The sequence below is a fragment of the Homo sapiens genome, chromosome 8, assembly GCF_000001405.40.
Source record: "Homo sapiens chromosome 8, GRCh38.p14 Primary Assembly".
NCBI classification, from domain to species: domain Eukaryota; kingdom Metazoa; phylum Chordata; class Mammalia; order Primates; family Hominidae; genus Homo; species Homo sapiens.
Genome location: NC_000008.11, coordinates 84,611,458 through 84,636,697, shown reverse-complemented (window position 1 = coordinate 84,636,697; position 25,240 = coordinate 84,611,458). Strand labels below are relative to the sequence as shown.

The following is a 25,240-nucleotide window of genomic DNA, read 5'->3' as shown; positions in this document are numbered from 1 at the left end:
GTTTGTCAATAAGATAAATGCTTGTAAAATATCCAAGAATCTGTAGGTGGAAAAAAGCAGAGTAACATTTGGATGATGATGAAAGGAGAAAGTGTGGTGTTATTCTTGTGGTAGTATATTATAGGCTGTCCAGCTAGATGGAGGACACAGTGATATTGTCCTAATACAGATCACTCAGCTGACAGTATCAAGATGTAATAAGGGGAGAGCTACTATTCGGGTTGCTTTTGGATACTTTTATTGTTATAAAAAATGTGTTCATTTCCTGACTTGTCCTGCGTACATTCCATCTCTCACAGGAAGAATTACTCTATTCTATGATACTAAAGCAACTTGCTTGTATTTACCAAACAACAGGGGAAAAGTATGTTTCTTTTCTGAATTTATATCATCCAGAAAGGAATCACTGATAAGGGTGATAAATTCCACATTTTAGGAGAGTAGATATAAGACATTTCAGAGCAAATATAAGAATAATGGCTCTAGACAGTGCTGTTAAAAAGGAAGGTGGCTTTTTGTAGATATGCACAAAATTAAATCCTGGTAATTAGAAAATTCTGATAAGTAAGAAAGGAGCAGAGCCTCTAAAGAAAGTGTGTGGTAATAGAGGATTTTCATATGAAATCTTGTTGGAAAATGACACTTTACATTATAGAAAGAGGTCAAATAAACAAGATTGGGACAGAATGGAAGAACCAAAATACTGGTGTCTGACAGTCTCACATTAGGATTAACCAGAAGTTCAAAAAGCCAAGGGGTTTTAATTATGTTCAGATTAAGAAAACCAAAGATACTGTAAGTTCACATATTGTGTTATAAAGCATGAAGTTAATGGTTGAAAATGAGAAAGCTGAGCTCAGTTTCCTCATCTCTAGAGCACAAAGCTAATAGGAAGAGAAGCTGACATTGATTGAATATTTCCATTCTGCGCACCATGCTAAGAGCCGTATGTTACATAAGTTCCCTTCTAAATCTATACTTTCAGTATCATTTTATTATATCTCCTGGATCTAAAGAAAGAATTACCTCAAAATACTTTATATCCAAGGGCAAGATGACATAATTTCACTTCATATGAAAATATCTAGAGGTTTTTATGATTTTTTTTTGTAAATCTCTCAATAGTATCTGTACCTATCAAAAAGCTGAATGTAATGTCAGTAGAACTGAAGTTGCTACAGTAAGAAAGCTGATTATTCTATTGTGCTTGGAAAACTACCTCCAAAAATGTTTTAAAAGAGGTTTTTGTCCACATTACCATATTCCGATAAATTTATCCAGAAAGCAAAAAGCCTGGAAACTTTTTCATTAAAAAAAATGGCTGATGAACCTGGAAATAGTTCTTCTATAGAAGACAGTACTTAAAAGATATGGCAGGTGTTCTAAACAATTGGAAGGGATGTAAAGCAGAAGATAATTGGACTTATTTTACCTTTTTCCAGCATATTGTAGCAATTCAATATTGTTTCGCTTTTTCATGCCTCCATTTTGTTTTTGTAGAACACCTTCTCATAGAAATGTGAGAATAAAATAAAAAAAATATGTAAAGTACTTAGCCTGCTACTTAACGCACTGTAAATGTTCAATCAGTTATCCTCATCACCCTCAGCAATCAGGACGTTCACTTTATAATGGCAGGAATAAAGAATGATTACTATCTTGAATACCTTTTTTTACCACCATTATCTGGCAAACAGCAGGTTCTCCCTAACTACGTGACTAGGTGTGGGCTTTTCAAGGTCAGAACTAGAATCCTGAGTGTAGTTTACAGGATTAAAGGCTTCAACTCAATAAATGCCGTGGAATCAACCTAAAGGAACATAGCAGTTTATCATTTTTCCACCATTTGGATATCAATAGAATGAGTTCAAGAAAAATCGGAGTGGTTGTCAATTTAGCGTGTTGACCTCCTCCAACTCCTTGAAGTTCTCTTTCTCTCTGGGACACACTATACTATGGCTTCTCTTCTATCTTTCTGACCAGCCCTTCCTCAGTCTTTTATCAATTTTTCCCATTGTTTAAACTTTAATCCTAGAATATTTCCTGACTTCTTAGCCCTTATTAATAAATGTATTGAATATATAAATATAATAAGGGCTGCTAAGCCCTTATTAATAAATGTACTGAATACATGAGACTGTGTTATAAGCTATGGATAATGCAAAATAGAGTACAGTAAATGTATTTTGATGCCAGCAACTCACAGTCCAATAGGACGAATATTTCATAAATAGCTTCAGAAGTTAAATAAAATGACAAATACTGTAGGAATGGCAGAGAGGGACAGGTTTATTTTAGAAGTGTTTTCTAAAAAGCTTCATGGAAAATATAGTGGTTCATCGGGGTTTTCATAAATGCAGAGCACAGGCCTTTGAAAGGCAGACACAAAGACAGGGGAAGAGTATTATTGGCAGACAAAAGATATTGGTCAAAAGTAGGGAGGAAAGAAAGAAAAGCATAAGTGAAGAGATATGTTTAGGGTCAACACATAAATCCGTGTGACTAGAGCATGTTATAATGTGTACTCTTATTTAGATGTGGAGATCATGAATACGAAATTTAATAATACAAATTCTAATCTAATCTAACAATATAAAAGTTAACACTGTCAGGTTGATGCTTAGTTTAATCTGTGATCTTTATAAGTACAGTTATGACATTTACTAAGTAATGAGGTATTTTGTTTGACAGGAACTGTACTAAGTTATTTATATTCATTATATCATTTTAACATCAGTCAACATTTCCTAAGGTACAAACCTGTAATTTCGTGAAGTCAAGACTTGAGAAAAATTAAGTATCTTTTCCCAAGCCAAACAATTATAAGTAGGACTGGATTCAAGTCTAAGTTTGGTTGATTGCATAGACTTTGATGGATCTTTCTATGGTGGCAGAATACCTCTGTCTTAATAGTAAAAACACATGAGAGATAGGCATACACATTTTTCCTAATTTAGAAGTGATATGACCCATACAGTTTGCATATATACAAAAAGTAAGCTGTTTGGTCCTCATTTCCCAAATGTCATATGTAATTTAATCTTTAGTTAGTATTGACTCATAGCCTCTTTTACAATGTTTTGTTGTTACTGTTACTATTTTGTTGCTTTAAACACGTCTGATTTGTTACTATTATCTCTCAAATTAAAAATAAATAACATTTTACCAAAAGGAATGTTTATGCGTGAAACTACTCAGGACTTCTTTTTTCTTAAAAGTTGCTGTATTTCAATTCACTATCAAATAAATACAAAAATGTGTTTTTATTGGGACAGCCTTTTTCTATTTTAAATTGTGCAGCTAAAAATTTTTTTTTAAAGTCAGGGGGGAAAGGAAGTAGCGGAGAGCCAGTTTCCATTTTATTTGCCTGATGTGATAAATAGTTATCTCCTACTGTCCAAACTCTATCTGGGTGTTATCAGCCTGTAATCTCATCTAGCTATAAACTCTATTGCTGAACCAGGACATTCTGAATAATACAAACATAGTATACCACTGGAAAAGTACATTAAATGGAGATTTACTAAAGACTCAGCCTCTTAACATTTTAATAAACTGCATGCAATATTAAAAAAAAAACCTCAATTCTATCAATTGTAGTAAAGAAATTAGTTTATGGTAAATCTGTATCTATGGCTAAACCCTCAAATTTTATGGCCAGAAAAAAATGCAGCCAATTGCAGTTAGTTGCTATCATAAACATTTGTGGGATAGATATTTAAACTGAATCTATTCCATTCTGAATGGAAACATGATACACATAGCATGAAGTCATTATAAAGTCATGTTCTCAAAATAGCATCATATTGAGTCAGTTACTTACTCAAGGCCATGGGGCTATGTGCAGTGGCAATTCAATGTTGCTGAAATGAAAACACTGTATATTCCTCTGGGAAAAGCTCTCCTTCATTTCCTATTCAAAATAATGTTGTTTGGAGATATTTATAAGGCTTTCTACAAAACTTGGTGGGGTACTTTACAAAATAGTAGAATTTAGCCCTGATCTCATCCGGAATAAGTCAAGGTCACCACTGTACTGGAATATACTAAATGTAAAGTTCAGACAGAAAAATAAAGAAAACTACACACACACACACACACACACACACACACAGGTCTATATAAAGTCACAACCAAATATCTCAATTGACAACTGTTATTTTTTTGTAGGATATGACAAAGCAGGTTGTTAATTGCCACAATCAAAGATACAAATAAAATGGGACATGGTGCAACACTGCTTTTATATCCAAATACTCAGAGTTTCTAGAATGGACTTCTAATATTATCATCTGCTTTAAACATAGCAAATATTTAGTTGGAAAAAAATTTCTTCCCATTTTAAAGATGGAAATGGAAGTCTAAGATATGTGTCTTAGTTCATTTGGGCTGCTACAGCAAAATACTCTCAACTGGGTAGCTTATAAACAATAAACATTTTATTTTATTTCTATTTCTTACAGTTCTGGAGCCTGGGAGGTCCAAGTCAAGCCACTGGCAGATTCTGTGTCTTATGAGGTCCTGCCTTCTTGTTCATAGACGGCATCTTCCAGCTGTCCTCTCGCATGGTGGGAGGGGATAATGAGCTATTTTATAAGGACACTAACCCCTTTCAATAGGCCTCCAGCCTCATAACCTAATCACTTCCCAAAGGATGCCCTTCCTAATATCATTTTAGGAGTTACAATTTCAACGTATGAATTTGGCAGGGGGGTGGGGTGGAAACAAGCTTTTAGAACATAGCAGTTTGGAATTTGCTTAATAATATGGAATTTGTTTAATAATATAAATAAGTAATGCCAATTTAGATTAATAAAATGTCTTCACCTTTAAGTAACAGTTGTTCAAATCATACAAATAATTTTGTGTATAATTTTTCCAGGACCATATGAATCCGCAGAATGTAAGTCCTAATGCCATCAATTATATCAAAAAGAAGGATGTTGGAGAAATCAATGAATAGTTTCTACTACTGACTTTCTCCCAAGACTCTGTTCCTGACCCTCTTTCTTTCCAGTACTTTCAGTCTTCCTCTATCCTGAATTCTATACCTCAGTCTACACTTATGTACAGATCTTCATATCAAAAAAAAAACTGTCTTTTTGACCCTGTTTACCTTCTGAAGCTACCATCTTGAAAACAGTGCTATCTTGAAAATTATGATAATTATACTCATGTATTTGAGCAGTGTTACACAGGTTTCAAAAGATTTTCATATAATTTATCTTTCATCCCATGACAGCCTTAAGCAGTTTTGTTGGTATTTTTGTTTTTCAAACGAGAAAGTGACACTCAGAGATTAATACTTCTTCAATTTCCAAACACTAAAAGGCTTTTAAAAGATCAAGTCAGAACTCAAATATGAACCCACAAAAAATAAACTGAATGATTTTTGGGCGGGAGTCACCTTAAGAGAACAACATGAACTAAGCTAATACCATTTTCATACAGTCCATATTTCTTTTCTTGGACAATAAGAGGGATTTCTGAAAGACAGACTTTGCTAAGATAGGCAAAGACCTTGCTGAAATGCAGAAACATTATAAAGGCATTTATAAAATTTATCAACCTAGTGACACTATCAAAACATGAAATAGGGTTTGGGACTTGTTGGTAATCTCCTTATGATCACACTTTTCTTCCACGATGTTTCTAAAATAACTATATGCCTTCTAGAATTTTTACCTGGTTTTAGTGTCAGGTTCACCTGTCTGTTGTTCATGCAATGCATCCTGATAATAAAAACGTTTATGTTTCAATCTTCTGATGCTCTCCAAATCTCCTTAATTTTATAAAATCTAATCTAATTTGCAAGTTTTTCTTCTTGCATTCCAAGTTTAAATTCTTTGGAAAATGCAGATGAATTGGTTAAATTATTTTGCTTTTTCTGATAATCTTCACATTTCTACTCTCCTTCACAGATGTTTATGGAGTACCTACTCTCCAACAGCCATTGAGCTGGGCACAGGGAATACAGCCATTACCACTGTCATTTAACAGTTTTTAGTTTGGTAATGTCAGCAAAAATATTTTGGTGTTTAGTTTTCTCAAATCAACTTCATTTAACAGTTTCTAGTTTAGTGAGGCCAAAAAACATTTGGGCCTTCAGTTTCCTCAACGTCCTAATTTAAAGATGAGCATTATTGAGGAGAAACATGGAAGCAGCGGAGAAACTGCATCATCCTTCCCACTTACCCACCCAAAATTCCTTTTGAAACTATGCATATTCTAAGCAATCAAACTGACTCATCATACTTCCCTTTTTCTTGGTTGAATATAGGGTTTCTTCTTGTTGTTGTTTGAAGTTTTTTAAAGTTTGGTGGCCTCCCTGGCTATCTTCATGTACCTGTCCTGAATTATGACTCAACCCTCCACACTAGTAGGTCCCAGTTACACTAAGAGTTCTTTGGAGAGCACACTAGGTAGCCAAGCTGTATTTAGGGTGGCTTTCCTGTTACTAATTAGTGAAACATTTGTAATGTCAAATATTCCATTTTCAGAGCCTTCTACTCATTCTGAATTCCATTTCCAATTAAGAGTCTATCTTTGTTTTTAATATTATTTTTGTCATTTGTTGTGCTAATCTTAGCTGGAAAAAATTCTAAATCATATAGCCTGATTGTCCTAAACTTCCCTTTGCTTAAATGATGTTTTCTCTTGGTAATCAGAATTAAGCTTGGAGTTTCAAGCCCTTATTTCTTTTCTCAGTTACTCAGAGTTGATGCTCTTTGAAAGGAAAATTAAAATGCTGCATGACCTTTAGCATGTCATTTAACATTTTTGGATGTCAGCATAGTCATTTATAAAATTTCTGGAGTAAAGTTTCTCTTAGAAAACCATATATCCTTTTGGTTTTTCATCCAAAAATGCATACTCATTGTAGGAAAATTAGAAAACACACAAAAGGGGAAAATAATCACACATAATTCCACTTGAAAACCACTTTCAGTATTGTAGTGCATAACCTTTCAAGCTTTAGTCTATGAAATACTGTGTGTATATACACACACACAAATATATGCTCTATTGTATATTATTATACATATTACACAGACTGTTCTGTCATATGAGCTGAATTTACCCTGAGCAATATATGTAACATATCTTTACATCTCCACTGTACCATTTTCATTGTTTGCTTAGGTTTGCATTCCATGGAATTTCCAGAATTTGTTTAATGAATCTGCCATTATTGAGGATTAAGTCTTATTCACTATTATTATAGAAGTGTCACAATGAATATCCTTATATATTTGTATTGCTCACTTATTTTCCTAGGGTGAATGCCCAGAAGTAGTATCTAAGTCTCAGAATATATGCATTTTGGAAGTATTTTTCCCACACTTTCACATTATTTCCAGCACAATATTGTAGTCACTTTTATTTCTGTCCATTAAAGAAAAGTTTATTGAGCCCCTGCTATCTAGGTGAAGGAGATACTAAAGTTAACAAAATAGACAAAGGTTTCTGCCTTCTTGGAGCATACATTCAATAAGGCAGGACAGTCAATAGTCAGATAAATAAAATACCTAGTATATTAGAAGGTGATATGCACAACAGAGAAAAACTAGGGAAGTCACCTAGAGGATTCAATTTCAATAACAGCCTAGATTTTCTGTAGCCACTTCCAGTGTATTATAATCCTGAGTCAAGGTTCTAGGTGTAATTAAATGCTGTGCTTTTTGCTGAGTCAATCAGGCATCCAGATAGTTGAGATGTCTATAATGGCAGTTATTTTTTGTATCTATGCCTATTAGATTATCTGTTTCAAAAGATTATCCTCCACATTTTTTTTTACTGGACAGACCATCTGAAATAAGATCTTTCACCATTAATATTTTTGTTTTTTACCATTAACAATTTTTGGTTTTAATAAACAAAAATTATTTTCCAAAATAACTTCCATCAGTATTTCAATCTGAGATTGTAGATGCTCATGGAGACTGCTACTGTTATTCCTGCTAGGCCCCTCTATCCACCCTTCTTACTTGGTGTTTCCTTCAGCAGCACCCTACCGTGATGGTCCTCCCCATCAGCACTCTATCCCCCGATATTTCTCAACAAAATGTTATGATTTTACTTACCATTTTCTGTGATGATTTCTTCAGAATTTAACTGCAACATGAGTTGATGTAAAAATATATTCATTTACTCTTTTGGTGAATATTAATAATCACCTACTCTGTAGGACTTAAATAATGTAGTAGGTAAAAGTAAGTTTGTCTACCCTCAAAGGAATTTATATTCTAACAAGGGAAATAGACAAGCAAATAAATGTTCACAAATTAGGAAGCACCGTGAAGAAAATACACAATCATGCCTATTGGGGATCATAATGGGATAGGGAGTGAGGAAGGCCTTTTTGAGGAGGTGTTACTAAATCTGAAACTTGAAAGATGAGGAAGAGCCAGGGAAACTAAGAACTAATTAAAATTAAGATGTGTGAATGCAGGAAGAAAATATTCATGGGCTGAGAAGTTGCATAAATGTTGGTGACTATGGAATAATGAAAAGAGGAAAGAGTTACTTAAGAAAAGAGGAGCGAAAAATACCAGCCAAACTGTATCAAGTTTAGTAGTTAGGATTGTACTCTGCATCTAACAGTAAGTCATTGAAAGGTATTACACAATGAGTGGCATTAGTTGTATTTATATTTTTAAAAGATTACTTTGAGATTCCAGAGAATAGATTGAAAGACGGCAAAAGAGAAAGACGAAACAGCAATCAGGAGTCTAATATAACGGTCCAAATGGAGAATTTTAGAGTGGATCAACTTTTGACAATGGAAATAGACATGAATTTAGTGGGGTACAATTTGAAATAGATTTGATAGGGTACATTGAAGGATTGAATTTAAATATGGGCATTAAAGAAGAGAGAGGAAACAGACGGGTGTGAGATTTCTCATTTGAACAGTGAAAGAATGGATGGTCATATCATTCATTATGGTGGGAAAGTGAAAAACATCAATAATTCAATTTTATCTATAAGACCTCAGCTCATAGAATAGGTCTGAGCTAGAGAAATAAATCTGGTATTTAACAGAATACAGAGAAAGAAGTGAAAGAGACAGGGGAAAAGAAGCTGAGAAAGAGTGGCCAGAAATGCACGAAGAAATCTAGGAGAACACAGGAAGAAAGTGTTTCTTTCTTCTGCAGGAAGAAAGAAATGCTGTATGTATTAAAGAGACCCTAGGAGATAAAAACTGAAAATTGTCCATGAATTTGGAATCCTAGCCACTCGATAAGACCTCTCTCTGGAGAGCAGTGAAAGGCACACTAGATGACTGTAAAATTAAGAATGACAGTATTTCCATTGAGGCTTCCTCCCAGCTATGCCTTAGTATAAAAACATCATCTGGGATAGGGATTTCAGGTACCCAGATTCTGAACAAAGAACTGGAAAATTATCATGGTCTAAGAGAGAGATCATTCCAAAAAGACTGATCACCCTGCGAGAAAAAATAGGAGGGATTATTTGACCTGGAAAGACGAATGCTAAGTTGAAGACTTCAGAAGCCCTTTTTAGGTCATTCAATCCAACCCTGAAAGGTTAAGAACCATATGCTTCTATTGTTGCAGTAATTTAAAAGCGTTGTAACAGATTTTGGATATTAAATTGAAGATACATTGTTAAAGAGCAAGAGTGTACCAGAGGCAGTATAAATGTGTAAGGTGAAGGGAGATAATAGTACTAATTTTTTCTTTGTCTAGAATCAGTTCTTTACATTTTCCTTGGAATAGGGGTTTAATTGACTGGTCTGTCAGTGTCACACGAAATAAGGCTGTGAAAGCGCAGCAAACTGTAAGGTGCTCTACCAATACCATTTATTGTTACTCTCTTCTAAAACATTATTGATTAAAGGTTGAAGACTAATATTTATTAAAACTTGGCAGGATCATACACAAAATAGAATGCAGCTTGACAATATACTTGTGTACAGTCAATCACCTGCTTTAAATGAATTCCAAATTTGATTCAGACTTAACAAAGTTTCTCAAGTAGTTATATATTTATGCTTTTTCAGTGTCTCTAAACAATTTTTAAAATCAATATTCCTGGATTAATTAATGTTTTTCAGGAATCTCAATTTTCATTTTAAATAATCTGAAGCTGGTTCTGAATACTCACTGAATTAATTTTTATGTTCCTTGTCAAAGAGAACCTAAATTTTTAGAGGAATATTCTGAAAATTTAAATGTCTTTTATTCCAGCTAGTGTTTGACTGGATTGATTTTCTTAATAAACAAAATCAGTGTGAGGAAATGTGAAGAAATGACTCCATCGTGTGGTCAGAAACTAATAATACAACAGAAGTGGAGAATGAGAGGTCTTTAGACATTCAGAATTTCACTGACAAATCATGCAGAGAGTAAAGCTTGGGCGGAATTCGCACAATGCAGGCGCACAAATGCCGCCGCCTAGTGGCACAGCCTGGAATTCTCACATGCAGCTTTATCTCAGTATGTTCAACTTAAACGTATTTTCCGCTCTTATTAAGTGTTCTCTAACTTAGTAAATTACAAAAGTTCAAAAGTCAAACTATAGTACTGAGTGTTATCTCTTATCTCATTTTTATTATATCACATACTCCTGTATACAAATATCACATCCTGTTATTTTACTTCCTAAATATTTATCATTTTCAGCCTTTTTTTTCTTTGCTAACTCTGCTATATTTTTGTCATATTTTACTTGGATAAGTGCCCCTGTCTCTGAATTACCTTTTAGCGTGTTTCTCTTTTTATCACTTCCCACTCCCTCCACATAACCACAACCACAATGACAACCACAGTGACATGTGACTTGACCATGACACTCTTCTGTTTAACCCCATCAAGGGAGCCCCTCCACCACTGGTTAAGGTTCCAGCTCTAACAAAAACTCCTGCTGACATTCCTTATCATTCACCACTCTTTGCTTTATTCTTTATATTCTGGTCATCCTGAGAGCTTGTATGGTGTAACAGAATCTTTGATTTCAGACTTCCAGAGTTTTAAACCTTGGATTTGCTATACATTGTTGGCAAGTTGCTTAACCTCTTTGTGCCTCAGTTCCCTGAACTAATGAATTTAGGTAATTATGGTATCTACTTTATGGGATCTCTATGAAGGTTAAAATAATAAAGCACTTAGAAAAGTTAGCTGATAAATAGTAAATGCTAATCAGAATTTAAAGCTACTACTAGTACTATTCATGAGCTTCTTGATACTTACCAAATACACTCTCTCTATAATGTTTGGTGCTTCACAGTGTTTTTACTTCTTCTATTTCTGTTGTCTGGAAAGTGCTTGCCATACAGTACACTTTCCTAACTTCTCATCTACTAAAATTTAGCACAGGAGACAATTCCAGGAAGAGTTCTTTACTTCTGCCCGAAGCTATTTTCCTATTGCATCCTATAATTACTATATCATTTCATTTACTATAATACAATAAAACCATTTGTGCCCATCATCCCAATTAGCCCCAGGTCATTAGGGTAGAGATTGTTTCATAAGGTACCAGTAATGTTCAATTAAGGACTGTGAAATTGAACCAAATTAAAATCAACTTGCTTGAAAGACAGTTTCATCACTTTCTTTTCAACATAATTTTACATGTAAACTTGTTTTTCATATTTTGAAAAGGACACTATGACATAATTCTAAGATATACTGTAACACTATTCAAATAAACTCCAGTTTCTGTGTACTCTGTGACTTTCAAATTATCTATGAATGCATTTCTCTATATGTATAAAAAGACTATATGATGTCAATGATGTCAGTATGACTTATGTTTACTTATGGGCACAGAAGTTTAGGAGAAATTTTGGGAGGTAAAAGACAAGAGCCCCTGAAGGTTACATTGAAACATCTGACAGGATTATTCTATGGAAAAGGAAAGAATGACTCTATTTTGTTTCACAATTCGATAGGGTAAGTCAAGAGGCAGTGTGCAAAAGATTTAAACCTAAAACAAGTGTGGTAGGCAGACTAATGTTCCCCAAAGACGTCCATGTCCTAATCCTTGTAGACTGTGAATATGTAATCTTACAAGACAAAAAGAGGCCTTTGCAGATGGCATTAAGGTTGTGGACCTTGAGATGGGGAGATGTCCTGATTATCCAGAAGTGCTCAATCTAATCACATGCATCCTTAAAAGCAGAGAACCTTTTCTAAGTGCAGTCAGTCAGAGGAAGATATGACCATAGCAGAAACACACAGAGAGATGCAATGGTGCTGGCATTGAAGATGAAAAAGGGGGCCATGCGCCAAGGAATGTGCATGGCCTTTAAAAATCAGAAAAGACAAGGAAAAGGATTCTTTCCTATAGCCTCCAAAAAGGAACACAAAACTTACTGAAACTTTGACTTTAGCCCAGTAAAACCCACGTTAGGCTTCTGACTTACAGAATTGTATGATAATGCACTTGGGTTGTTTCTAGCAGCTCAGTTGTGGTAATTTGTTAGAGCTGCAGTAGAGAACTAGTACAGTAAGAAAAGGTTTTCTAAAAATTAGTGATGTCTAAACACAGAAAGGGCTGTCCTTGAAAAACTAAGCTGCTCATTGCTGGATGGCCATGTTCAAAATATCTGAGCACTATTCATCTGATTCCTGGACAGAGAGGGATGTTGAATATGATGATCTCTAAAGACTAACAATAACCCAAAGTGAAAACTTCAACTCTTTTCTGTCAAGACTTGTTTATTCAAGTGATTATTTCACACAGACAATAGTACCAGTCGAAAGAGAAGTATCTCATCTCCCACTATCAGACCTACCAACCTCATGTACCTAGGATGGTCAGACTTTCCACGTTCATGATGGGGCCATTGGTCCCTTCCTGTTGAAACAAATCCTTCTGCTTAGGCTTGGATTCCATGCTCTTTGATTTGCTCAAGGATATTTTAAATTTTTTTTCCTCTCACTCTTTTTTTCCCACAGCATATTTGTGATAGTCCTCATCATGTGAAAGGGTAACTATTTGTACCAACATCCCTCCTCACCATCAACTCCCACATGATTTTCCTGCTCCTATTTAGAGAAAAACTTCTTCGAATTGCTGTTTGTATTCTTTCATTTCATGTTCTCATCTCATACTCTCCCCTTAATGCACCCCAATTGACAACTTCCTCTCCCTACCTCTCTAAAATAATTATTCTCAAGGTCAGCAATCATCTCAATATTAAGAGTATGTAAATTTAATTCTACTTACTGTTGGTAACTTACAGGACAGTAGGATGACCTAAGGGGTAAAATATTTTTTGGACCACTACTTTGGAGATTTATTAATTTCATAAACACAATTATTTTCAACACTATCCTTCTATACATATCAAGATATGCCCTTTGAAGTGAAAATGGGTAGTGATTATTTTATGCGGTGAACTGGATCAAAATAAACTTTCATGCTTTTAGACTGATGTATCTAAAATTAATGTGTCACGATAACATGACACATTAATTCTTTACCTATGAAAAACTTGTGCCCACTGAACATTTAAACAATACAATAAAACAACAAATCTAACAGCATGTCCCAGCTGACAAGTGGAACTGAGCTAATCTTTGAAAATGGAATAAAACTTAGAAGTTTTACTGTCACATTCAGGGACACATTTAATTTGTTAGAACTTAGCATTGAGAATTGTGTCTATTATAATCAGAACTGGCTTTCAGTCACAAGGATCTTGAATTTTAAGCAGTATGGTGTGCACAATGCCTTAAGAGATAGTCACTGAAAATGTTACATGACTATCTCAAAAAGGTGCAGTCTTTAATTTGTCACAACCAAACTTCACATCCTCTAATAATAAATACATTTACTATTTTTTTCCACGTAGATAACAACGACTTGGTGTGTACTCGTCAATTCTTACATCTTGAGACACAGATATGTCTATTTTTCAAATTAAACAGTATTGTTGTTTCCTTTATTTCCCATTATTTTCTACATGGGCTTTCCATAATCCACAGGACTTTATGATGGCAGAGTCCTTACCTCATTGATGCCAGCAGACTTCAATCTCTTCCATATGACAGCAAGGAAACTAAATAGAAATTGGTCTTATGGCCTCTGAGAGAGACTTCCCTGGAATAATTATATGTACTAATGCCCCTCGACTCTGTGGAGCGTTGTCCTGATCCCTGGACACACTAACCCTGAGGACATCCCTCTTTTCCCCACATTTGTTGCTGCTGTTTTTCTAGGAAATGATGCCACTCTCTGTAAAATCTGCTCAAAATTTAGTGGCTCAGATAAGATTCCAAAATTTTTAAATACTTAGAACATAGCCTGGCCTAGTAAACGATGCTCATATCTGAGGCTGAATTCTGAGCTCAAAGAAAATCACAGTGTAGATTTCTTTAACATTACCAATAAAGCAAACACTTTTATATTCTTCCTAGAATAAATTTTAACAAGCCCTTCATGCTGAAATATACTTTGGGATGAGACTTTCTCTTAACTCTCTACCAGGTTATTACCACGTATGACCCCTTTTTCTTTGTGGCATCAAACTCATCTTTCCTCTCATTCATGCAGTGTTAAAGCTCAAATTTTCATTCACTACTATGTTTGTCTTGAATTGTTTCCTTCTCAATTCTATAACTGATACAGTAGCAACTCATTGTGACTTCTGGTTAATTCCATGCATTTAAAGTTTTAACTGAAACATTTAAGTTAAATTATTGGTAATATTCATTATGCAGATGTAACTTCATAATTAATAATTATGCAGATGTCACCTTGTAATTAGCAAATGTTATAAAAGCCTTACCAAAAAGTCATAGTAAATTGGTTTCATAGAAAAAGAGCTTGAAAATAATGGCTAAATTAGCACTGCAAAGGACTAGAAATCCACATAGGCTAGAGTTGACATTATACATATTCATAAGAATCATGCCCTTGAGAATCTGTCTGAATTTAGAACTCATCTCTTACAATCTATTCTCTCTTTAAATCCTACAAGGCTACAGCTAACCTAAGTCTACATTAGGATAGGAAACCTTGAAGTAAATTAGAAAAAGCCTTTTAAGCAGAGAAATTGTTTTTATGAAGTTCATGTACTGTATGAAAGTTCTATAGTCGGGGGAGGAGCCAAGATGGCTGAATAGGAACAGCTCCGGTCTACAGCTCCCAGCGTGAGCGACGCCGAAGACAGGTGATTTCTGCATTTCCATCTGAGGTACCGGGTTCATCTCACTAGGGAGTGCCAGACAGTGGGCGCAGGTCAGTGGGTGCGTGCACTGTGCGCCAGCCGAAGCAGGGTGAGGCATTGCCTCACTCCGGAAGTGCAAGGGGTCAGGGAGTTCCCTTTCCTAGTCAAAGAAAGGGGGGACAGCCGGCACCTGGAAAATTGGGTGGCTCCCACCCGAATACTGCGCTTTTCCGACGGGCTTAAAAAATGGCAGACCACGAGATTATATCCTGCACCTGGCTCAGAGAGTCCTACGCCCACGCCCACGGAGTCTCCCTGATTGCTAGCACGGCAGTCTGAGATCAGACTGCAAGGGGGCAGCAAGGCTGGGGGAGGGGCACCCACCATTGCCCAGGCGTGCTTAGGTAAACAGAGCAGCCAGGAAGCTCGAACTGGGTGGAGCCCACCACAGCTCAAGGAGGCCTGCCTGCCTCTGTAGGCTCCACCTCTGGGGGCAGGGCACAAACAAAAAGACAGCAGTAACCTCTGCAGACTTAAATGTCCCTGTCTGACAGCTTTGAAGAGAGCAGTGGTTCTCCCAGCACGCAGCTGGAGATCTGAGAACGGGCAGACTGCCTCCTCAAGTGGGTCCCTGTCCCCTGACCCCCGAGCAGCCTAACTGGGAGGCACCCCCCAGCAGGGGCACACTGACACCTCACACGGCAGGGTACTCCAGCAGACCTGCAGCTGAGGGTCCTGTCTGTTAGAAGGAAAACTAACAAACAGAAAGGACATCCACACCAAAAACCCATCTGTACATCACCATCATCAAAGACCAAAAGTAGATAAAACCACAAAGATGGGGAAAAAACAGAACAGAAAAACTGGAAACTCTAAAAAGCAGAGTGCCTCTCCTCCTCCAAAGGAATGCAGTTCCTCACCAGCAATGGAACAAAACTGGATGGAGAATGACTTTGACGAGCTGAGAGAAGAAGGCTTCAGATGATCAAATTACTCTGAGCTACGGGAGGACATTCAAACCAAAGGCAAAGAAGTTGAAAACTTTGAAAACAATTTAGAAGAATGTATAACTAGAATAACCAATACAGAGAAGTGCCTAAAGGAGCTGATGGAGCTGCAAACCAAGGCTCGAGAACTACGTGAAGAATGCAGAAGCCTCAGGAGCCGATGCGATCAACTGGAAGAAAGGGTATCAGCAATGGAAGATGAAATGAATGAAATGAAGCGAGAAGGGAAGTTTAGAGAAAAAGTAATAAAAAGAAATGAGCAAAGCCTCCAAGAAATATGGGACTATGTGAAAAGACCAAATCTACGTCTGATTGGTGTACCTGAAAGTGATGGGGAGAATGGAACCAAGTTGGAAAACACTCTGCAAGATATTATCCAGGAGAACTTCCCCAATCTAGCAAGGCAGGCCAACATTCAGATTCAGGAAATACAGAGAATGCCACAAAGATACTCCTCGAGAAGAGCAACTCCAAGACACATAATTGTCAGATTCACCAAAGTTGAAATGAAGGAAAAATTGTTAAGGGCAGCCAGAGAGAAAGGTCGGGTTACCCTCAAAGGGAAGCCCATCAGACTAACAGCGGATCTCTCAGCAGAAACCCTACAAGCCAGAAGAGAGTGGGGGCCAATATTCAACATTCTTAAAGAAAAGAATTTTCAACCCAGAATTTCATATCCAGCCAAACTAAGCTTCATAAGTGAAGGAGAAATAGAATACTTTACAGACAAGCAAATGCTGAGAGATTTTGTCACCATCAGGCCTGCCCTAAAAGAGCTCCTGAAGGAAGCGCTAAACATGGAAAGGAACAACCGGCACCAGCTGCTGCAAAATCATGCCAAAATGTAAAGACCATCGAGACTAGGAAGTAACTGCATCAACTAACGAGCAAAATAACCAGCTAACATCATAATGACAGGATCAAATTCACACATAACAATATTAACTTTAAATGTAAATGGACTAAATGCTCCAATTAAAAGACACAGACTGGCAAATTGGATAAAGAGTCAAGACCCATCAGTGTGCTGTATTCAGGAAACCCATCTCACGTGCAGAGACACACATAGGCTCAAAATAAAAGGATGGAGGAAGATCTACCAAGCAAATGGAAAACAAAAAAAGGCAGGGGTTGCAATCCTAGTCTCTGATAAAACAGACTTTAAACCAACAAAAATCAAAAGAGACAAAGAAGGCCATTACATAATGGTAAAGGGATCAATTCAACAAGAAGAGCTAACTATCCTAAATATATATGCACCCAACACGGAGCACCCAGATTCATAAAGCAAGTCCTGAGTGACCTACAAAGAGACTTGGACTGCCACACATTAATAATGGGAGACTTTAACACCCCACTGTCAACATTAGACAGATCAATGAGACAGAAAGTCAACAAGGATACCCAGGAATTGAACTCAGCTCTGCACCAAGTGGACCTAATAGACATCTACAGAACTGTCCACCCCAAATCAACAGAATATACATTTTTTTCAGCACCACACCACACCTATTCCAAAATTGACCACATACTTGGAAGTAAAGCTCTCCTCAGCAAATGTAAAAGAACACAAATTATAACAAACTATCTCTCAGACCACAGTGCAATCAAACTAGAACTCAGGATTAAGAATCTCACTCAAAACCGCTCAACTACATGGAAACTGAACAACCTGCTCCTGAATGACTACTGGGTACATAACGAAATGAAGGCAGAAATAAAGATGTTCTTTGAAACCAATGAGAACAAAGACACAACATACCAGAATCTCTGGGACGCATTCAAAGCAGTGTGTAGAGGGAAATTTATAGCACTAAATGCCCACAAGAGAAAGCAGGAAAGATCCAAAATTGACACCCTAACATCACAATTAAAAGAACTAGAAAAGCAAGAGCAAACACATTCAAAAGCTAGCAGAAGGCAAGAAATAACTAAAATCAGAGCAGAACTGAAGGAAATAGAGACACAAAAAACCCTTCAAAAAATTAATGAATCCAGGAGCTGGTTTTTTGAAAGGATCAACAAAATTGATAGACCGCTAGCAAGACTAATAAAGAAAAAAAGAGAGAAGAATCAAATAGACGCAATAAAAAATGATAAAGGGGATATCACCACCAATCCCACAGAAATACAAACTACCATCAGAGAATACTACAAACACCTCTATGCAAATAAACTACAAAATCTAGAAGAAATGGATAAATTCCTCGACACATACACCCTCCCAAGACTAAACCAGGAAGAAGTTGAATCTCTGAATAGACCAATAACAGACTCTGAAATTGTGGCAATAATCAATAGCTTACCAACCAAAAAGAGTCCAGGACCAAATGGATTCACAGCCGAATTCTACCAGAGGTACAAGGAAGAACTGGTACCATTCCTTCTGAAACTATTCCAATCAATAGAAAAAGAGGGAATCCTCCCTAACTCATTTTATGAGGCCAGCATCACTCTGATACCAAAGCCGGGCAGAGACACAACCAAAAAAGAGAATTTTAGACCAATATCCTTGATGAACATTAATGCAAAAATCCTCAATAAAATGCTGGCAAAACGAATCCAGCAGCACATCAAAAGGCTTATCCACCATGATCAAGTGGGCTTCATCCCTGGGATGCAAGGCTGGTTCAATATACGCAAATCAATAAATGTAATCCAGCATAAAGACAGAGCCAAAGACAAAAACCACATGATTATCTCAATAGATGCAGAAAAGGCCTTTGACAAAATTCAACAACGCTTCATGCTAAAAACTCTCAATAAATTAGGTATTGATGGGACGTATTTCAAAATAATAAGAGCTATCTATGACAAATCCACAGCCAATATCATACTGAATGGGCAAAAACTGGAAGCATTCCCTTTGAAAACTGGCACAAGACAGGGATGCCCTCTCTCACCACTCCTATTCAACATAGTGTTGGAAGTTCTGGCCAGGGCAATTAGGCAGGAGAAGGAAATAAAGGGTATTCAATTAGGAAAAGAGGAAGTCAAATTGTCCCTGTTTGCAGATGACATGATTGTATACCTAGAAAACCCCATTGTCTCAGCCCAAAATCTCCTTAAGCTGATAAGCAACTTCAGCAAAGTCTCAGGATACAAAATCAGTGTACAAAAATCACAAGCATTCTTATACACCAACAACAGACAAACAGAGAGCCAAATCATGAGTGAACTCCCATTCACAATTGCTTCAAAGAAAATAAAATACCTAGGAATCCAACTTACAAGGGATGTGAAGGACCTCTTGCAGGAGAACTACAATCCACTGCTCAAGGAAATAAAAGAGGATACAAACAAATGGAAGAACATTCCATGCTCATGGGTAGGAACAATCAATATCGTGAAAATGGCCATACTGCCCAAGGTAATTTATAGATTCAATGCCATCCCCATCAAGCTACCAATGACTTTCTTCACAGAATTGGAAAAAACTACTTTAAAGTTCATATGGAACCAAAAAAGAGCCTGCATCACCGAGTCAATCCTAAGCCAAAAGAACAAAGCTGGAGGCATCACACTACCTGACTTCAAACTATACTACAAGGCTACAGTAACCAAAACAGCATGGTACTGGTACCAAAACAGAGATATAGATCAATGGAACAGAACAGAGCCCTCAGAAATAATGCCACATATCTACAACTATCTGATCTTTGACAAACCTGAGAAAAACAAGCAATGGGGAAAGGATTCCCTACTTAATAAATGGTGCTGGGAAAACTGACTAGGCATATGTAGAAAGCTGAAACTGGATCCCTTCCTTACACCTTATACAAAAATCAATTCAAGATGGATTAAAGACTTAAACGTTAGACCTAAAACCATAAAAACCCTAGAAGAAAACCTAGGCATTACCATTCAGGACATAGGCATGGCAAGGACTTCATGTCTAAAACACCAAAAGCAATGGCAACAAAAGCCAAAATTGACAAATGGGATCTAATTAAACTAAAGAGCTTCTGCACAGCAAAAGAAACTACCATCAGAGTGAACAGGCAACCTACAAAATGGGAGAAAATTTTTGCAACCTACTCATCTGACAAAGGGCTAATATCCAGAATCTACAATGAACTCAAACAAATTTACAAGAAAAAAACAACCCCATCAAAAAGTGGGCAAAGGACATGAACAGACACTTCTCAAAAGAAGACATTTATGCAGCCAAAAAACACATGAAAAAATGTTCATCATCACTGGCCATCAGAGAAATGCAAATCAAAACCACAATGAGATACCATCTCACACCAGTTAGAATGGCAATCATTAAAAAGTCAGGAAACAACAGGTGCTGGAGAGGATGTGGAGAAATAGGAACACTTTTACACTGTTGGTGGGACTGTAAACTAGTTCAACCATTGTGGAAGTCAGTGTGGCGATTCCTCAGGGATCTAGAACTAGAAATACCATTTGACCCAGCCATCCCATTACGGGGTATATACCCAAAGGACTATAAATCATGCTGCTATAAAGACACATGCACACGTATGTTTATTGCGGCATTATTCACAATAGCAAAGACTTGGAACCAACCCAAATGTCCAACAATGATAGACTGGATTAAGAAAATGTGGCACATATACACCATGGAATACTATGCAGCCATAAAAAATGATGAGTTCATGTCCTTTGTAGGGACATGGATGAAATTGGAAATCATCATTCTCAGTAAACTATCGCAAGAACAAAAAACCAAACACCGCATATTCTCACTCATAGGTGGGAATTGAACAATGAGATCACATGGACACAGGAAGAGGAACATCACACTCTGGGGACTGTTGTGGGGTGGGGGGAGGGGGGAGGGACAGCATTGGGAGATATACCTAATGCTAGATGACGAGTTAGTGGGTGCAGCGCACCAGCATGGCACATGTATACATATGTAACTAAGCTGCACAATGTGCACATGTACCCTAAAACTTAAAGTATAATAATAAGTAAAAAAAAAAAAAAAAAAAAAAAAAAAAAAGACGAAAGTTCTATAGTCAGGCTCTCTTAGAACGTATTGACTTATATTTGTAGTACACTGTTTAAACTGATTAATCACATTTAATTTAACTCTGCAATACCTTTATTGAGCATTTAAGCAGGTGTCATTCTTTTCTGGAATAAGATGGTATATAAATACATACTGACATTGATAGTCTATTGTATGCAGATGCCCATGCTACGCATAAGGACGTTCTGTTTTTTTTTTTTTCAATGTATTTAACATGATAGCAGGAAAGGGGGCTCTTTAAAGCTGATACAACTGGGAAATAAGAGCTAACAGGAGAGAAAGAATCTCTAACAGTCCTCTGGGACTAGCTAAATTAGGTAAACTCAGTTTAATAAAAGAGTAGAGCAAAAAAGTAACAATTCATTTTAGAAATATTTCCGTAAAAAACTACAAATATCTTAAAGTGCAACTTCATGAAAAAGTGCTGCTTAAAAAAGCACACATATTGATTATATGGTTTTGAAATACCTATTAGCTGTCAGGCACTGTGACAAGGACTGAACATATAGTAGCACATAAGGAAATAAGTGGTTTCTGCCTCTAAAGCCTCATTTTACAGTAATTTATGCCATCATTCCTCAAGGGCAGGTTTCAGGAAGATATTTTATTGAGGTCGTAAAATGCCATGTACAGTGCCTGTACCATATCCTCCTGGATAATTCTGGGGAAACTGTTCTGTGGGTTCAAATCTACCAGCATATTTTATAAGATTTTAGAAAATATGCAAATGTTTCCAAACAAAGAAAATGAAAAAAAAAAAAAAAAGGAAAGAAGGGAGGAACAATCTGACTGTAGTCTTAGCTCTTTCCATAGCAGCAAATCCTGACTTTACAGCCCTCTGTAGAGCCCACCAGTTGAACTAGTAGGTTGGTGCAAAGGTAATTGTGGTTTTTGCCATTAAAAATAGGGCAAAAACTACAAGTACATTTGTACCAACCTAATAATTCACTTCTAAGGTTCTTTCCAGCCTTAAATACCTGAGAATCTATACAATATTCCACAAGTAAGTTAAACAGCCTATTACTGAGGGAGATTGAAGGGCTGGAGGCACAGTCATTCTGGAGAAATAGGGAAGATGTAATCTAAAGTTTAGTGACCACTCTTCCATGCAGGAGATCCATCTCTTATGTGTCCTTCTAGATTCTGAAAAGCAATCTCAAGTCAGGAAGATTTATGTTGTCAGATGGCCTTTGTGATTTCATTCCTATAATATTAGCTCAGAATTTGAGTGTAGGGAGAACTTTTAGTTTGTTCTTATAAGACTACTTCCAACACCAACAATAATACCTATTCTGAGAGTAATACTGATACTCGTACTTATATTAATAACAACAGCAACAGCTAAGGCTTACTGAGTTCTTACTGTGTGCCAGGCACAATATGCTTCAACTAATTATCTTTGAAAATTGATGCTAACAAACACTAATCTTTATAGTAATTCAGTGTCATAGGTACTATTAGTGGATCCCATTTTACAGATGAGGACGCTAAGGCCTAACAATTTAGTTATTCTGTAAAAGCTTATAAATTGTGGAGATGAATTTGGAAGAGAAGACCCCTTGACTCAAGATTCTATACTTTTTAGACCAACGAGAGAAGGTGGCTGGTAGGCTACAAGTTCTGTAGCCATTGAAATATAAATGGCAAGATTTGTGTATTATATATATATATATATATATAAATCTGAAGAAAATTGTTTAAAGTAAAAACTGCGGATTTCTGACCTTAAGTAATAATTTTGCATGAATTAGGAAAATATTTGAGAGACTAAAAAACCTATAATGATGTTAATGCTTTAGCTATGTTGTTGGGCATTACAATTTTTCAAAAGGCTTTTTTTCCCTGTACATTATTGTATGGGATCAACAGGATTCTATAAGTGATAAAAATGGATATTACCTATTATATCTACATTGAATTTCTGCCTACTTCAGTTAGTGTGTGACTTTGGATAACTTATTTCACCATTGTGTGTCTAAATTTTCTCATCTAAAATGGGGATAGTAATAGCAGTTCCTTCCTAAGGTTGCTAAGAGGATGCAGTTAGTTACCACATGCGAGGTACCTGTGTCAGTGTCTTGCACATTTTCAACATCCGGTGGATTCTATGGTTATCATTATTATTATCATTAAGAGTCAGGATAATGTCACATGAGCTTTCTGCCCAAATTTTGTGATTATGTTTAGCATCAATTATTTTGTGAAAGAACACAGTAAAAAGTTCAAGGGTGTTTATTTCTTTAAGTATATATTTTATGTTTTTCCTTTATTTGCAACTAAGTTTACTGTGTTAAACTTGATTCTGAAATGATTCATTTTTAGTTCTTATGAAAATTGAGGCTTTCAGGTCTCAGACTGTAATTCTATAAGACAAGCATAACTCTGCCTACCTTAAATTTTTTATATTGAAATTGTGTGTTTACCTAGATATTTTATTTTTTCTAGTATTTGATTAACTTCTTTACCTAAAGCAACTCATAAACCCGTAATCTTTTCAAGAGCTTCTGCAATCCATGAACTTGGATCACAAAACACACTTTGCAACCACCTTCAAAGGGAAGAGTGAGTATAATCCATTTTGCACAGTAAATTTTACTACGAAAACTAAAGTGGTATTTACTGGAAAATGCAAGCAATTTACATGCAGTGGTGATTTTTTTCTTTGTGCAGTGTCACTATGGATTCATAAACATGCATTTAAAAATAACATTAGCAATGTTGTTCCAAGGATATTGAACTTGGTTTTCTTACTCTTTTTATACCTAGTTTATTCAGAGGACATTTAAATGATGTTTGTAATTTTCCATTTTGCACCAACTCACACAAAGTAATACTCCCAAATAGCACAGAGTTGTCTAAAATTCAAATTATTTTTGTAGTAATTAAAGGAAAAGAAAGTTACATATCTCACATAAAAGAATCGTATTATCTCCGGAAAGGAATATTGAAGACTGTTTATTTTTAAAGTCCTTGCACATCTCTCTTCTGGAGTAGAGTAACAGGCTGGATCTATTTTCTTTTGCATAGTCACTTTCTCAAGCTTTATAAGATTCATTAGTGGTCTTGTCCTGGCTCATAGATAAATACGGTATATGCCAGCAACAAAGCCTACAAAAGGGGGAGTTTGTCACAGGGAAAGTGTTACAACTTAAGTATGCTCTCCTGCCTTTACTATGCTCTCCTGATGTGACTTTATGATATTTGTCATTTCTGATAACTGATATTGCTAGGTATTCATGACTTGGGTAATATACAGACAACCACATGGACCACTTTTCATGCTGTTTTTTTTAACAAATAGCATTTTTTAAGTTTTACAAATGACACCAGAGCCAGAAGTTATGAAGAAATAATAAATAAATCTCACTACTGGAAACACACAAACCCCCAAAATCCCAAAATATAAATCTTCTACATAGCAAACAATTCAAACCACAATCTAAGAGAAAAAGGTTAGTATATGTTAGAAAATAGGCTAATACCATTACTATGAAAAGAGCTGTGACTAGTAAGACAAATACAAATACAAAAATTAACAAAAAAACCGGAACAGTAAATTTATTTAAAAAAATGGAGACAAATAACCAAAAACAGAAAAAAATGTTCACATCCACAAATGCAAATTCCAACACTTTGTTTACTAGTATGAGAGTGCTTTGTGTAATTGGGGGAGTGAACCCACTATAGACATGGCTATAAAAACAAAGCTTTTAAACTATCCCAAATATTACAACATTACTACAGTTTAGGGAAAGTGGAGATACAATGATAATGAGAAAGTAGGTGAAAAGTATTCTAAAAACAGACATGTAATGTGTAAATACTTATATGATGTACGACCATATATTTATTGCGTTAATCAAACAGGCTATGAATTCATTCAATTAACCTTGTCACTCATTTAACTTACAAATATTAATAGAGTGAACCAGTCAATAAGTTAGGGATACTATGATGAAAATATTCAGACATAATGTCAACTTTTGTGTGTGTGTATGTGTTCATTCATATACATGTATGAACACACACCCGCATATCTCTAAGTGTCTCTATTTAATACCTAATTATAATGGTTATCAGAGC

At 36.0% G+C, this 25,240-nt stretch overlaps 1 protein-coding gene across 55 annotated transcripts in view, besides 2 other annotated features; it reads right to left on the bottom strand.

Moving 5' to 3' along the window:
* Positions 1–25,240, bottom strand: part of RALYL (RALY RNA binding protein like) — a 739,058-nt gene that overhangs the window by 285,147 nt on the left and 428,671 nt on the right. The window lies entirely within an intron of this gene.
* Positions 10,250–10,544: an enhancer, noted in NCBI's record as "tiled region #11463; K562 Activating DNase unmatched - State 12:CtcfO". NCBI's record gives its function as "activates a minimal TATA promoter and a strong SV40 promoter by Sharpr-MPRA in K562 cells {active_cell/tissue: K562}" and the evidence as "EXISTENCE:reporter gene assay evidence [ECO:0000049][PMID:27701403]".
* Positions 15,423–15,943: an enhancer, noted in NCBI's record as "NANOG-H3K4me1 hESC enhancer chr8:85532990-85533510 (GRCh37/hg19 assembly coordinates)". NCBI's record gives its function as "activates a minimal SCP1, AML or CMV promoter by ChIP-STARR-seq in naive H9 embryonic stem cells {active_cell/tissue: H9 hESC(naive)}" and the evidence as "EXISTENCE:reporter gene assay evidence [ECO:0000049][PMID:30033119]".